The sequence below is a fragment of the Homo sapiens genome, chromosome 13 (genome assembly GCF_000001405.40).
Source record: "Homo sapiens chromosome 13, GRCh38.p14 Primary Assembly".
Taxonomy (NCBI): domain Eukaryota; kingdom Metazoa; phylum Chordata; class Mammalia; order Primates; family Hominidae; genus Homo; species Homo sapiens.
This window is the reverse complement of record NC_000013.11, coordinates 77439093-77456483: the sequence shown is the minus strand read 5'-3', so window position 1 is coordinate 77456483 and position 17391 is coordinate 77439093. Positions and strand designations below refer to the sequence as shown.

Genomic DNA, 17391 nt, shown 5'->3' with positions numbered 1-17391 from the left:
AACACCATTTGTACATAGACAGAAAGACAGTGTGAACAAGGCCCCTCACATGCCCCAGCATTTTGTACAAAGACATGATGACATTGTCCAATGTTCTTTCCCCTCAGACCACTGGTCCTCACAGTTCACAACCCCAGTCCACTCAGCTTCTTTCCTGACCTTTGGCTTTGTTAAATTTCCCTATTGTTTTTCTTTAATTTTCTTGATTTCTGCTCTTGGCTTTATTTCCTTCTGTCCATGTATTTTCACTTCACTTCTCATTTTCTGTCTTTTGAAACTGGAACCTTAAATCATTGACTGTAGACCTTACTTTTTGCCTCATATAAGCATTTAAAGATTTCAGTTTCCCTGTTAAGTACTGCCCTTTACTGCATCCCACAAATTTTGATATGTTATTATTCTATTATCATTCAATTTGAAATATTTTCTAATTTGCCTGTTACTCTTTTGATCCACGGATGATTTAGAATTCTGTTGTTTAATTTCTAAAATTAGGAGTCTCCCTAGATATGCCATTGTTACTGATTCCTAATTTAATTCTGTTATGATTGGAAAAGACACTCCGTATGATCTTAATTATTTCAAATTTACTGAAGCTCATATCATAGCCTAGCATAATAAAACTACTGTGTACATTTTTAAAGCATATGTATTTTGTAGTTGTTGGGTACAGTGTTCTATAAGTACCAGTTATGCTATGATGGTTGATAGTGTTGCTCACATAATGTATGTCCTTACTGATTTCTTTATCTAGTTGTTCTACGGATTAGTGAGAGAGTGGCATCAAAATCTCCAAATATGATTGTGGAATTGTTTGTGTTTATCTTTAATTCTCTCATTTTTGCTTCATGTACTTGGAAGCTCTGATATTAGATGTATGAACATGTATAATTATTGTGATTTCCTGGTGAATTGATTCTTTTATCATTATGAAATATTCCTATTTATCTCCAGTTATACTCTTTGTCTTGAAGTCTGTTTTATCTGACATTAATATAGTCATTCCAGCATTCTTATGCTGTTTGTATGGCACATCTTTCTAGGTCTTTATAGTTAAAGTGTATTTCTTGTAAACAATACATAATTCGGTCTTGCTTTTTAAAATCTGTTTTGACATTTTGTTTCTAACATTGTCTAGTACAACTTTCTGTGATAAAATGTACTATGTCTGCACTATCCAATACTATACCACTATCCACATGTGGCTGTTGAATACTTAAAATGTGTTTAGTATAACTTTAAAAATGCTTTTTTAGTTACTATATTTATATTTAATTAATTTAAATTCAAATCACCACATGTGGCAGTGGCAGACTACATTTTTTAACATTTAACGTAATTGTTGATATGGTTGGATATAGATGTGGTATAATGAAATATATATATATATATATTTGGTCTTTTGCTCTGGTTCCTGGCATAGAGGTCCTAAAACTCTTGGAATTTTCTGAGTGACAACTGTTTTTTGTATGCTAATGAGATGACTGAAGGAGAAAGGGGGCTGGTTGCTTAAAAAAAAAAAAAAAAAAACCTACTTGGTTAGAAGGCCAAAAATTTCAACCTCGAGGGAGTGGAGAGGGGCTGGAGAGGGAGTTTGACCATGAATACCAATGATATAATCAATCGTGCCTACATAATTAAACTGATAAAAATCCCTAAACAACAGAGTTCACAGAGCTTCCAGTTGATGAACACATCAGTGTTCTGGGAGAGAAGTTTTGTGTCACCACCACCACCCTCCTGCCATACCTTGTCCTAGGCACCTTTTCCATTTGGATAGTCCTGAGCTGTATCCTTTATAATAAACCAGTAATCATCAGGAGTTCTGTTTCCTGAGTTCTGTAAGTCATTCTAGCAAACTATCAAACCTGAAGAAGAGGTCGTGGAAATGCTTAAATTTGTAGATGACCAGGAAGAAGTGTGGGTAGCCTAGGGACCCCATTTACAGCTGGTAACTGAAATGAGGGCAGTCTTGTGGAACTGAGCCCTTTAACTTATGGGATCTGATGTTAATTCCGGATAGTGTCAGAATTGAATTATGTCTGATTGGCATGGGAGACTTAGAGAATTGGTTGGTGTAGGAAAACATCATACAACAGGTCTACTATTTTGATTATTTTCTGTTTTGTGTCCCTCTTGAATAATTGCTATTGATCTATCTCCAGGTTGTCTGACACTTTCTTTTTATGTAAGCTCTAACTCCACTGTATACTCCATTTCTCTACTCCATTATTTGGAATCATATTACTCACTGTTCAGTACTCAGTTTAGTGATTTTTGCTCTTCAAAGAACTTCCTGAATTCCCATAAATGGATCTAACCATTTCCTTCTTTGCTTCCCTGCTAGATCCTCTACAGTGATTTTTCCCGGTACCTCTAGCTTTATTGTTAGGGGTCTTCCTCCTAATTGTTTATGTCATGTTCATCTTTGATCTGTCCTCCTAAGGCTGTGATCGACTCTTCTAATATTATGATTGATTTCTTTTCTTAGAATCTTTTTTTTAAATCTCATTAGATCCACTAGAAGAAGACCATTTCCTAGAATAGAACTTTCTCCCTGCATGGACTGGACTGATGTTAATAATTCTATTCTCCAAATTCACCTAACTGAAAAGTTATGAAAGTAGCCCCCTCTCAGGAAAAAAACCCAACAACAGCATATCCTTTGTTAAGACAGTGCCTTGTTGCTATTAGATTGAATTCAAAACCACATCAATGGAAATAATAATTTAATCAACAAAAGGGATCCTGAATTCCAGCAAAGAAGAGTTTGTAGAATTCCCTCAGAATTTGTGAAATAGGCAACAAAATATTTGGTATTCACTAGAAAGACAAAAGAACCTGTTGATGTTTACTAAACTTATTCCTAGGACAAATTTCCTAGCCCATCTGAGCATAGCAGGGTGTAGTAGAAAAAAAAAAGGCTCCAGAGTAAAGCAAATCTGGTTTTGAATCCCAGGTCTGATCCCTAGTGGTGTGACCTCCAAGATGTTCCTTACTCTCTTGTCTCTGCTTTCTCTATAAAATGTGAATAATGGTACTTAATATGTGCCATTGTTATAAGTATTTTAAAGTGTATATTTAAAGCACCCAGCAAGTTGTCTGCATTGAATGAATAGAAACAATGAATATTTTTATTTCTGTAATCATCATCATTATTATTTATAGTACACATCTAGCTAAGTGATAAGTTCCTTGGAAACAAGTTAGGGTATGTTAAGGCTGATTTTGGAGATGTCCCTGGCAATATATTGCATTGTGCCCAAATTCAAGTCTCCAAAGTTTTATTCATTACAGCTATTCCTGGGGAATAAGTAAACCTGTGAGAAGGGAATTTCAGACCAAAAAAAAAAAAAAAAAAAAACAGATTCTGTAGGACTACCTCTTAACAACAGAAATTTGCTGGGCACTGGTGCTAATTGTTTTTTATGCATTATCTAACTTAATCTTTATAACTTTATAATCTTTAAGATAGGGGATATTGCAAATGAAGAAAACAAAGCCTTTCGGAGGTTAAACAACTTGCCCAAACTCTTACAGTAAAATGCAAAGCTTGGATTCAAAGTCTCATCTCTGAAACCCTCGCCCATTAATTTCCACTCAGTCCTGTTGTCCAGATGATCCAAACCCCCTGTGTTTCAGTCATCCTGGCAGCTCACCTGGCCAATTCAATGTTTGCACCTGCTTAACCACGAAGCCAACATGACCCAGAAAATAAAGTGCCATGACATTAGGAAATCATATCTTTTAAAGGTGCTACAAATGAAAATGTCTAATAAGGCAGGGAGCAACCAATATTGGTGGGCATTTGCAGTTCTGAGTTAGGACTCACTTTTCTTCCTAACACTTTGCTGTTTTTCACTAACACTCACAAGGGTTGGCCTCTTGGAGTTTCCCATGCTCCCACCCATGTTTACCAATGGAGAGAGCAGAGCTGGCTTCTGTCTGCAGACCTCACCCACACAACAGTCAGTCATCCTCAGAGCCAGCAAAGGGACAGGTTCTCTACTTTGTCATCAGAATTCTTTCCATTTTGTTGCTCCAGGTTAATGAGTGAGAAACTTCAGGCCTAGAGGGAACAACAACAGATATTGAGATTCATTGCAGAGATCATATTTTTAAATGCATTTGAGGACAAGAAGCCAATGTTCTAATGTGAGGATTTGTGAACTAAATTGAAACATTCTCTTTCACTAAAAATGACTAAAATTTTTTTGAAAGTGGTTTTGTGGTCCTTATTAAAAATAAATAAAAATATCACTCTATCACTCCTAAAAGGCATGCTGTAGCAGAGCTATGATCGAGGCAAGAGGTTTCTAATTAGGCTTTTGTTTTAAGAAAGGTACGCTGATTTAACTCCTAAATTTTTGGAGTGTGTGTGTGTCTAAGTGACATGTAATGGAGTTTTAAGATTTAAGTTTAATAAACTCTTCCTGGGAAATTATTATGATGATAATCATTTGCAATTAGTCAAAGCTATTCAGAGAGTCACTAAGTCCAACAGAATTCCTTCATCTCTTGATATGAATCAGGTTGCCCCTAAATTCCCACTTAGCACAGAAAAGCAACATATGTATGTATGCCTATGTGTGTGTTTGTATGTATATGTGTATATGTTTTGTTTGTATGTGTGTGTATATGTGTTTGTGTGTGTTCACATGTATACATTCCTGCAAGTATCTGAAAGAGAAAGGCAATTCACATTTTTTAGACTTTGGGTTTAGCTAATTTTTTTTCTTTTTTTTTTTAAGAAGGAGTCTTGCTCTTGTCAACCAGGATGGAGTGCAATGGTACGATTTCCACTCACTGCAACCTCCGCCTCCTGGTTTTTCTAGTGACACACCTTACACAAACTGAGAAGTATGAGACAAGAAAGCAGTAGACAAATTTATAGAATGTTCCAAAAACTAAAATGTACAGGTTCAGGGCTCAATTTTTTTTTTTTGGTTTCCAAAATTTAAAAAGATCCTATAAAATTTATTTATAGCTTACCATATAAAGAAGAAAGGAACTAATCTATCTAACATACTCTCCTTGAAAAATAAAGACTGACATGGATGTTGAATATGGTATAAATCAATAGAATGCAAACATTTTATTTTTATATCTTTTTAAGCTGGGCAGAACTGGTACTGTCTTGATTAAGAAAGACAAGAGGACATTTGCCGTCACCCTACAAAAAAAAAAAAATCAAAGAGAAGATGAGGTAAACCAGATTACCATATACAGTTGTATATTTGCACACTGCTTAAACATGCCTGACCAAAAGATCAAATGAGGTTGGAAATGTAAGTTCTAGTTGCCTAGCTGGACTCTATGGGTCTCTAATGTGGATAAGCCAAATCAGAGAGAGTATACCTGACCAGTGTATGTCTTCTCCTAATTTATCCACCCAGGGAGAGCACTTTTTCTAAGGCCCTGTAGAGGCTGGCTGTGGCCTGATGAAAAGATCACATTCTTCATGACATGCATTTTCTTGTTTAAATGTAAAATTTCTTAGGCTTAATTTCTTTCTTTTTTTTTTTTTTTTTTTGAGACAGAGTCTCGCTCTGTCGCCCAGGCTGGAGTGCAGTGGCGCGATCTCGGCTCACTGCAAGCTCCGCCTCCCGGGTTCACGCCATTCTCCTGCCTCAGCCACCGGAGTAGCTGGGACTACAGGCGCCCGCCACCACGCCCAGCTAATTTTTTTTGTATTTTTAGTAAAGACGGGGTTTCACCGTGTTAGCCAGGATGGTCTCGATTTCCTGACCTCGTGATCCACCCGCCTCGGCCTCCCAGTCTTAGGCTTAATGTCTTACATGATTCATTCATTCAGCAATTATTTATTGAGTCCTTTGGCTATGCCAAACACTGATGCAATCAGAAACAAAACATAGTGCCTGACCACAGAGATTTTAGTCTAAGGACCAGGGAGCTTGTCACCAGATGCAATTATCTTTCACTCTTCATGGGGCTCTGTTCCTAAAATTATTGGGACTATCAAAATTACTGGGACTATCAAAACTAAAGCTGGCAAAATTAAGATCTGGTAGAAAATAAGAGGTTTGGAGAGATCTCATTTCCACAACAGAGCAGATTCTCCCATGTTAAAAACCTGCTCCAACAGTGAACGTTTCTCTTGATGAATTTTATTTAATTATTTAGAAAACGTTGTCGCATCGCTGGCATCTGGGAAATTATAGAATTTCCTACCAATTCCATAATTTGTGGACTCTAGAATTAGTTTCCCTAAGTCTAACACAAACTCTACCTTTTATTAATATATGACCTAAGGCAGGTTCTGTGCCTCAGTTTCTCATCTGTTAGATATGGATTATAATAATGTAATGCTTTTACCATATGAAATTCTTATGATTAAATGAAATAAATCACAAAAAGTGACATACATGAATACACATTCTCTATTTTCTTCATTTTTTTTAAGTTGCAAATCTCATGTTGCTGGTAAGTTTGAATGTAATGGCTTTGGGTTGTTTGGGGTTTGTCATTGTTTTGTTTTTGCACTTAGACTGTCCCTTGGTTTATTTTCACATTGTCAAAGTTCTCAAAAAATTTGTCTTTGCTTCTTGAGTTTCTCACAGCCTCTCAGGTATCCTTAAGTTGAGGGCTGATTTTCTGAATCTGAAAAGTACAGAGTAATATTTTACAAATATTGGTTCTGAAGTCAGACAGTCCTGAGCTTAAACTTGCCTCTGCTGCTCCTCAATTCTAATGCCTCTGACATCAGAGTCAGTCTTACAATGTGCACATATAAGGTCATGTTTCCTTCTCTCCCTGTAAAGCTGTTGTTAAACCTATAATGTTTTGGTTGTTGCTTTGAATTTTTGGTGGGTTTTTGCCTTGTTTTGTTTTATTCTGACGATCTTCATATCTAGGAAACAAATTATTTCTGTTTAAATAAACAATTTAAACTCTGTAAGTCACTGTTTCTTCATTTACAAACCTATGCTACACATAAACTTATTTCTTAAAGTTGATATAAAGAATAAGTGAAATAATGCATATACAATGCTTGGCATAGTGCCAGGCGTGTAGTAAATGATTTATACATGTTAGTCATTAATAATTTGTATCTGCATTTTGCATTTAGATATTGAAATATGGTTAGATCCCCTTTCTCTACAGTAAACCATAAACTGGGCCCCATAAGGGTCTCTGGTTGGAGGAGTCATTATCATTACTCTTTTTAAAGGGAAATGCATTAGAATATTACAGATCTTAAATGTTGGGTGTTATAAGTGGGGGATGGCTATAGTATGGTGTCTATTTTGACAGGCTGAGTGTAGAGACCAAAGAAAATTCACAGATTAGCCCTCTGGAAATTATCTGTGGAAAGCATCCTTGGGGATGTCCCTTAGTCTATTTGTGTTGCTATAAAGGAATACAGAAGGCTGGTAATTTGTAAAGAAAATAGGTTTAGATGGCTCCCCATTCTGCTGGCTAGAAGAGTGGGCATCTGGTGAAAGCCTCAGGCTGTGTCCTCTCGTGGCAGGAGGTGAAGGGGAGCTGGTGTGTGCAGAGATCACATGGTGAAAGAGGAAGCAAGAGAGCGAGTGGGGAAGGGCCAGGCTCTTAACGATCAGCTCCCACTGGAACTAACAGAACAAGAACTCACTCATTATCATAAGAACGTCACCAAGTCAAGAGGGATCCATCCCCATGACCAAAACACATTAGGCCCCACCTCCAACATCAGGGATCAAATTTCAACATGAGGTTTGGTGGTACAAACATCCAAACTCTAGCAGGAAGTGACCACTAGACTGAAACCTGGAGGACAGGCAGGAGCTAGCCAGGTAAGCAAAGAGGAAGGAAATCTACAAGCAAGGGAACAAGATGCACCAAGTCCCCAAGGTGAGAAAGAGCTTGGTGTGTTAGAGAGACCAATCAGTGTGATTAAATTATGATTTGCCATATTTAGAGAGTATTGCATATTTGACCATAAGTAATGAAAGAACATCTTTCAAGCTTAGGGGAATTGTTCCTAAAACACAGGCTTTAGATTCTTAAATAACTCAGAAATCAATTTAAACCCTTTCTTTTTTGAGATAAGAAAACCAAAGCCCAGAAATGAATGAAAGGGAAGAGAGGAGATAGAGAGATGGTAGCTAACATAATGGGCATCTATTATGGTCAGGCAAGTGACATCATACACTGTTGAGGCTCAGAAAATGATATCCCAAAGTGAAGGCCTCAGAAGCAGCTCACTCTGATTTTCTCCTACTGTTCTGTTTCTGGCCCCTCATTCTTCCCTGAGGCAAGCCATAGAAGCTAGAATCCCTCTTCCCCAAGACAGATCATAGAAATCAGAACCTGTTTCCCCCAAACAGTCATGAAACCTAAAAATCTAACTCTACCTTTCCCTTTACCTTTCTGTGTAAAAATTGGTTATAAAAGAATTATCTGACCTACCTGGTTTGATTGTAGGTCATAAAACTTCCACTCCAGAGAGTGTCCTGCCTCATATCCGGAGGGAAGGAATGCTGCACAGGGATGCCAAGAAGAATCTGAACAGACAGGTCTTCCTGAGTTTCCCCACTCAGTCCATTAACAGGGGAACATATCCTTTTTGTCCAATCCTATTTCTATTTGGCTATCCATAATATGTTGAACCTAAGCAGAAAAATGGACAGTTTCCCCTGTATCTCTGGGTCTTCATTCTGAAGGCTCCTGTATCATATCCAAACTCTGATCAAATAAATTTGTATGCTTTTTCTCCTATTAATCTATCTTTTGTCAGTGATTTGCAATGAACCTTCAGAGGGTAAAAGGGAAGTTTTCCCTTTGCCCCTACAACATACCTAATAGAAGAGGAGATTGAAATAGACATGTTCAATAACTCACTCAAAGCCATAGCTTTAGTAAGGGTAGAGCGAGAATTCAAATCCAGATTTGCAGTTCTCAGAGTCTAAGATTGTTTTTGTTAGACCCCTGTGGAACTTGCCTGAGTTCATCCACATGTGAACTTATCTCCACAATGGTGTTGAAATTGTTCGTATGTTCATTTCTGTACTCGTCTGTGAGCTTCTTGGCAGTCTTTTTCTATTTGCAAGCACAGCTCCTGGAAGATGGATAAATTCAACGAGATAGTGGATGGATGGATGGAAGGATGGATGGATGAACAGACGGACAGACGGACGGGTGGACGGACGGACGGATGGATGGATGGATGGATGGATGGATGGATAGATGAATGGATGGATGGATATTTGAGACAATAGTTGAATGGATTTTTCTGAAGTTCTATTCAATTACCTTTCAAAGGTATTGTGATACTCTTAAGTGTATTTTTAAATCAGTTAGTCACCTGCATTTCAAAAATTAATGAGAAATCTTCCATAATTTTAAAAACAAAAAATATAAAACTGAATGGTTCTAAATCCAGGAGTAGAAGTCCTTTCTACATAGTGAGTTCCTTGCAGACACAGCATGTGGCCAATTTGTTCTTTTGTCCCTTATATCTGGCCTCTGAGCATATTTGTCTGCATATAACGAAAGTCTAATCAATCAACAGTTCTGATTAGAGTCATTTATGACTGGCCCTTTAAATGATAGAAATTAAATCCACTTCTGAAAATAATATTTTTCTAGTGGACACATAATTCTAGCCTCATCCTAAGAGGGGGCTAGAGCTAATATTTTACCACAAAAATAATCTTCATTTATTGGAGAAATATCTAACCACTGATATATACAGGCATCAGCTAGTCAGAACAGATGCCATGGCTCACCAAAAAAATGCCTCAATACATCAGAACAGATATCCATATAAATAACCAGCCCAATCCATTCTATATGGCATAAATATCAGCCCTGCTCACAGGTCCTTGGAAATGAGAAGCAGAGACATGGTTCATGTGGAGCAGAGACAAATAGATCAAAGGAAAGAGGATCATAGAACTAGGCTAAAATGTGAGGACTTAGTTCTAGGAACAGAATAAAGTACAGTTTCTAGAATTTAACCACAAAATCCATATCAGTCTTCTAGCAAGGCACAAGGGTTACTAAGAATATGGAGCATGGATCAGTTCGCATATTTGGTGCTGAATAATCTGAGTATTGACTTAGAGGTCCTGACAAATGATGGAATTGGTCCAGTGCTTTCAGAACAAAATAGAACCTCTAGGTGGAGGTTCTAGCTGATTCAGCTGTGGAAAAACAGGAAAACCACTTCTGACCTTGAAAAGAATATCATGTGTTATCAGGGGCATCTCCCTTTCTTTTTTCCCTCTGTTTCTTTCTTTTCGGTCTGAATTAGCTAGAATCGGTTTCTGTTGCTTGCAACCAGAGAATAACTAGTATATCAAATACTTTGCCTTGTTCTTGACACATTTCTATTAATCCGATCTAATCTCATTAGCTCTTTGAACAACCCACTGCTTATTCATTAGTTACTTCTGCAGATGTTCGTGTAATTTTGAGGTCTTGTTCTAAAATAATTTAATGCAAGATTAATGGAGAAAACATAGCAAGATTTGACAATATAAGTAATGGACTTTTCCCCCATGGATTTATAGTGAAGAGGCTATTGTTGGTTATCGATCACTGCTAAGTTCCAAGGCTCTGTCTCCCACACAGCCCCATCCCTTAGTTCATGCTGCTTTTTCTCCCTGAAATGCCCTTTCTAATACCTCCACCTGTAGAAAGCATACTTATCCTTAAAAGACTGATTTAAATATCAGCTCTGCAAAGTCTTCCCTATTTCTCAAGATAGAGCTAGTCACTCCACATCTGTGATTCCTGGCAACACCACTGCTATAGGAACAGTGCCTTGGACTGCAGGTAACTGAACTTCTCAGAGGATTCATCTTGGGTTGCCCAGAACTACAGCAAATATTAAAAGTTATATTTTATGACTCATTGGTATAAGGATGAATATGTTAATATTATATATTAAAACATTTACTCCTACCTAAAAGTTCACTTTTTTCTTCCAATTTCAAAAGAAATTAAAACATTTTTATGGACATTTAAAGGTATAGTGGACCCTTGGCCCTGTGCCTGCTACATCTAGTGGGTAAGTTATCCCTGCCTGCATGTGCCCTGACTTAGACATTTTTCTCACTTATTAGTCCACAGCTTAAAGGGGCCACTCTGCAGGGGGACAAAATTGGTTCTCATCTGGTCATGAGACAAACTTAGCATAAGGATCAAGTGATTCAGCTTCCAGGGGATTCTCTTAAAGGAGGTTTGAGTTTATCCCCACCAAAGAGCATGTTGAAATTTGATCCCCATTGTGGTGATATTGGGTGGTGGGGCCTAGTGGGAGCTGTTTGGGTCAGTGGGGCGGATCCCTCATGAATGACTTGGTGTCATTTTCAAGGTAGTGAGTGAGTTCTTGCACAGGCAAGATTGGATTAGTTCTCAGGAAAATGGATTCGTTCTTATGAGAGTGCATTTTTATAAAGCGAGGATGCCCCTCAGGTTTTGTTTCTTCATACATGTCCACCTCCCCTTTGACCTTTTCCACCATGTTATGACACAGCACAAATGCCCTCACCAGAAGCCAGGACCATGCCCTTAAGCTTCCCAGCCTGCAGAACTGTGAGCTAAATAAACCTCTTTCCCTTATAAATTATCCAGTCTCAGGTATTCTGTTAAAGCAACACAAAATGGATGAAGACAGAGGCTTATATTTTTTCCTAATTGAATTATTTCAAGTATATAATGATCCTTTTTTAAATAAAAATTCTAAACCCATTGAAAGTTTGCTAATTCAAACTTTAAAAAAGAAATTTCTAGATAAAATCAGGGCTACTATGGGCATTAGCAGTCATTTGTTTTATTTAGGGAAACATCAATTTAGAACAAAATTTTAGTTAATCCAAAATAAAATAACTAACCTTTGCATGATGCTTTACAATTTACTAAGCACTTTCGCATATATTATTTACATGATCTGCACACCAAATCTGAAATATTGCTGTCATTTATTTTTCATTTGACAAGCAAGAAAAACAAGCCTCAGACAGATTAAGTGACTTGCCCAAGGTCACACAACAGATAGTACATTCTAGGAGTCATGCCCAGTTCTTCTAATTTCAGAACCTCACATTCTTTTCACTATATCATGCTGCCTGTAGAAAAAAAAGCATCTATGTAAACACATGCATAAAAATGATGAGCTCACAATCTAAGTAGGTTGATGCTCTGTTAGGAAACCTAGTGGCATTTTGTGGAGATATAATTGTGTTGTGTGTTTAGTTCTAAAACATCTTAATAAGAGGATGGTTGACAAAATTTATTTTTAATGAGAGTCAAAACTAACCAAATGATATTTTTTATTTATGCAAAATTCTATAGATCATGAACTTTGGTTGAAATTATGACAAACATATCAGAAATACATAGATAGGTGTATATCTTTTTAATTTCAAGTTCCAAGTCTTTGCTGTTTAGGTTGTTACTATCCCTCTTCTTTCTTTCTCTTCCCGGCCTCTCAAGCCCACCGTTTTCAGGTATACAGGCTACAGCAAACTTGACTTTGAGAGTGTTTTCTTTCATCAACTCTTGTGCTCCTGAAAGGCGTTATTTCTCCACAAAAGAAAGAAATGAAAGGGAGGAAATGGCATTGAACAAATCTGGTCATGAAAAAGGCAAAATTATTTACAGCATGAAGACTATATCATACTTTTTTTAATGAAAGCTTATTAACATTAGCCAGCAGGGATCTTTACTCTTCACAGGAAAGTTGGGCAAATTAAAGAATGAGGCTTCAGAGAGTTCAAAAGGATATGTGACTCAACATCCTACAATAGACAAATTGACTATGTCAAGTATAAATGTGACTGTAGGTTTCACTGTTCTAGGAGCTAGTCTGAACAGAAATTATATTAAGCTAAGTCTGCAAGGTCAGAATGTCAATAATGGAATAATTTAATGTACACATTTCACCTCAGTTCAGTTTCATTTCGATTACCCACAGGAAGGTTGGTGAGTAGTTATAAGATTTTTCTGGAATGTATTTCCAGTTTAAAAATATGTATTATTTGGGGGTCCGTCCCAAGATGGCCAAATAGGAACAGCTGTGGTCTGCAGCTCCCAGCATGATCGATGCAGAAGATGGATGATTTCTGCATTTCCAGCTGAGCTCAGAAGAGAGCAGTGGTTCTCCTAGCATGGTGTTTGAGCTCTGAGAATGGACAGACTGACTCCTCAAGTGGGTCCCTGAGCCCCATGTAGCCTAACTCGGAGACACCTCCCAGTAGGGGCCGACTGACACCTCATACAGCCAGGTGCCCCTCTGAGACGAAGCTTCCAGAGGAAGGATCAGGCAGCAATATTTGCTGTTCTGCAATATTTGCTGTTCTGCAGCCTCCACCGGTGATACCCAGGCAAACAGGGTCTGGAGTGGACCTCCAGCAAAATCCAACGGACCTGCAGCTGAGGGACCTGACTATTAGAAGGAAAACTAACAAACAGAAAGGAATAGCATCAACATCAACAAGAAGGACATCCACACCAAAACCCCATCTGTAGGTCACCATCATCAAAGACCAAAGGTAAATAAAACCACAAAGATGAGGAGAAACCAGAGCAGAAAATCTTAAAATTCTAAAAACCAGAGCGCCCCTTCTCCTCCAAAGGATCGCAGCTCCTCACCAGTAACGGAACAAAGCAGGAGAGAGAATGACTTTGATGAGTTGACAAAAGTAGGCTTCAGAAAGTCGGTAATAACAAACTTCTCCGAGCTAAAGGATGATGTTCGAACTCATCACGAGGAAGCTAAAAACCTTGAAAAAAGATCAGACGAATGGCTAACTAGAATGAAGAGTGTAGAGAAGACCTTAAATGACCGATGGAGCTGAAAACCATGGTACGAGAACTACATGGCGCATGCACAAGCTTCAGTAGCCGATTCCATCAAGTGGAAGAAAGGGTATCAGCGATTGAAGATCAAATTAATGAAATGGAGGAAGGAGAGAAGTTTAGAGAAAAATGAGTAAAAAGAAACAAACAAAGCCTCCAAGAAATATGGGACTATGTGAAAAGACCAAATCTATGTTTGATTGGTATACCTGAAAGCGACAGGGAGAATGGAACCAAGCTGGAAAACACTCTTCAGGATATTATCCAGGAGCACTTCCCCAACCTAGCAAGGCAGGCCAACATTCAAATTCAGGAAATACAGAGAACACCACAAAGATACTTCTTGAGAAGAGCAACCCCAAGACACATAATTGTCAGATTCACCAAGGTTGAAATGAAGGAAAAAATGCGAAGTGCAGCCAGAGAGAAAGGTTGGGTTACCTATAAAGGGAAGCCCCTCAGACTAACAGCAGATCTCTCGGCAGAAAGCCGACAACCAGAAGAGAGTGGGGGCCAATATTCAACATTCTTAAAGGAAAGAATTTTCAACCCAGAATTTCATATCCAGCCAAACTAAGCTTCATAAGTGAAGGAGAAATAAAATCCTTTCAGACAAGCAAATGCTGAGAGATTTTGTCACCACCAGGCCTGCCTTACAAGAGCTCCTGAAGGAAGCACTAAACATGAAAAGGAGCAACCTGTACCAGCCACTGCAAAAACATGCCAAATTGTAAAGACCATCAATGCTAGGAAGAAACTGCATCAACTAACGGGCAAAATAACCAGCTAACATCATAATGACAGGATCAAATTCACACATAACAATATTAACCTTAAATGTAAATGGGTTAAATGCCCCAATTAAAAGACACAGACTGGCAAATTGGATAAAGATTCAAGACCCATCACTGTGCTGTATTGAAGAGACCCATCTCACATGCAGAGACACATGTAGGCTCAAAATAAAGGGATGGAGGAAGATCTACCAAGCAAATGGAAAACAAATAAAAAGCAGGGGTTGCAATCCTAGTCTCTGATAAAACAGACTTGAAACCAACAAAGATCAAAAGAGACAAAGAAGCCCATTGCATAATGGTAAAGGGATCAATTCAACAAGAAGAGCTAACTCTCCTAAATATATATGCACCCAATACAGGAGCACCCAGATTCATAAAGCAAGTCTGGAGAGATGTAAAAAGAGACGTAGATTCTGACACAATAATAATGGGAGACTTTAACACCCCACTGTCAATATTAGACAGATCAGCGAGACAGAAAGTTAACAAGGATATTCAGGACTTGAACTCAGCTCTGCACCAAGCGGACCTAATAGACATCTACAGAACTCTCCACTCCAAATCAATAGAATATACATTCTTCTTAGCACCACATCATACTTATTCCAAAATTGACCACATAGTTGGAAGTAAAGCACTCCTCAGCAATGTAAAAGAACAGAAATCACAACAAACTGTCTCTCAGACCTCAGTGCAATCAAATTAGAACTCATGATTAAGAAACTCACTCAAAACCACACAACTACATAGAAACTGAACAACCTGCTCCTGAATGACTACTGGGTAAATAACAAAACGAAGGCAGAAATAAAGATGTTCTTTGAAGCCAATGAGAACAGAGACACAACATACCAGAATCTCTGGGACACATTTAAAGCAGTGTGTAGAGGGAAATTTATAGCACTAAATGCCCACAAAAGAAAGCAGGAAAGATCTAAAATCGACACCCTAATATCACAATTGAAAGAACTAGAGAAGCAAGAGCAAACACATTCAAAAGCTAGCAGAAAGCAAGAAATAACTAAGATCAGAGCAGAACTGAAAGAGCTAGAGACACAAAAAAACCCTTCAAAGAAATCAATGAATCCAGGAGCTGGTTTTTTGAAAAGACCAACAAAATTGATAGACTGCTAGCAAGACTAATAAAGAAGAAAAGAGATAAGAATCAAATAGACACAATAAAAAAATGATAAAGGGGATATCACCACTGATCCCACAGAAATACAAACTACCATCAGAGAATATTATAAACACCCCTATGCACATATACTAGAAAATCTAGAAGAAATTGATAAATTCCTGGACACATACACCCTCCCAAGAGTAAACCAGGAAGAAGTTGAATCACTGAATAGACCAATAACAGGCTCTGAAATTGAGGCAATAATTAATAGCCTACCAACCAAAAAAAGTCCAGGACTAGACAGATTTACAGCCGAATTCTACCAGAGGTACAAAGAGGAGCTGGTACCATTCCTTCTGAAACTATTCCAATCAATAGAAAAAGAGGGAATCCTTCCTAACTCATTTTATGAGGCCAGCGTCATCCTGATACCAAAGCCTGGCAGAGACAGGCAAAAAAGAGACAAAAAAAGGAATTTTAGACCAATATCCCTGATGAACATCAATGCAAAAATACTCAATAAAATCCTGGCAAACCGAAGCCAGCAGCACTTCAAAAAGCTTATCCACCAAGATCAAGTTGGCTTCATCCCGGGGATGCAAGTCTGGTTCGACATATGCAAATCAATAAACATAATCCATCACATAAACAGAACCGAAGACAAAAACCATATGATTATCTCAATAGATGCAGAAAAGGCCTTTGACAAAATTCAACAGCCCTTCATGCTAAAAACTCTCAATAAACTAGGTACTGATGGGACGTATCTCAAAATAATAAGAGCTATTTATGACAAACCCACAGCCAATATCATACTGAATGGGCAAAACCTGGAAGCATTCCCTTTGAAAACTGGCACAAGACAGGGATGCCCTCCCTCACCACTCCTATTCAACATAGTGTTGGAAGTTCTGGCCAGGGCAATCAGGCAAGAGAAAGAAATAAAGGGTATTCAATTAGGAAAAGAGAAGTCAAATTGTCCATGTTTGCAGATGACATGATTGTATATGTAGAAAACCCCATCGTCTCCCCCCAAAATCTTCTTAAGCTGATAAGCAATTTCAGCAAAGTCTAAGGATATAAAATCAATGTGCAAAACTAATAAGCTTTCTTATACACCAATAACAGACAAACAGAGAGCCAAACCATGAGTGAGCTCCCATTCACAACTGCTACAAAGAGAATGAAATACCTAGGAATCCAACTTACAAGGGATATGAAGGACCTCTTCAAGGAGAACTACAAACCACTGCACAACAAAATAAAACAGGACACATACAAATGGAAGAACATTCCATGCTCATGGACAGGAAGAATCAATATAGTGAAAATGGCCATACTGCCCAAGGTAATTCATAAATTCAATGCCATTCAGATCAAGCTACCAATGACTTTATTCACAGAATTGGAAAAAAACACTTTAAAGTTTGTATGGAACCAAAAAAGAGCCTGCATTGCCAAGACAATCGTAAGCAAAAAGAACAAAGCTGGAGGCATCACACTACCTGACTTCAAACTATTCTACAAGGCTACAGTAACCAAAACAGCATGGTACTGGTACCAAAACAGACATAGAGACCAATGGAACAGAACAGAGACCTCAGAAATAACACCACACATCTACGACCATGTGATCTTTGACAAACCTCACAAAAACAAGCC

The 17391-nt window shown here is 38.0% G+C and overlaps 1 long non-coding RNA gene across 1 annotated transcript in view, besides 1 other annotated feature; it reads right to left on the bottom strand.

The window, feature by feature from the left end:
• The window catches only part of LOC124903186 (uncharacterized), a 35583-nt gene that overhangs the window by 6695 nt on the left and 11497 nt on the right, over nucleotides 1-17391 (bottom strand). Inside the window, exon 2 of the long non-coding RNA XR_007063828.1 lies at nucleotides 3918-4069. This is a non-coding gene — a long non-coding RNA (uncharacterized LOC124903186). The remainder of the gene's footprint in view (nucleotides 1-3917; nucleotides 4070-17391) is intronic.
• Nucleotides 7428-7807: an enhancer, noted in NCBI's record as "active region_7845". NCBI's record gives its function as "activates an Ori minimal core promoter by ATAC-STARR-seq in GM12878 lymphoblastoid cells {active_cell/tissue: GM12878}" and the evidence as "EXISTENCE:reporter gene assay evidence [ECO:0000049][PMID:35858748]".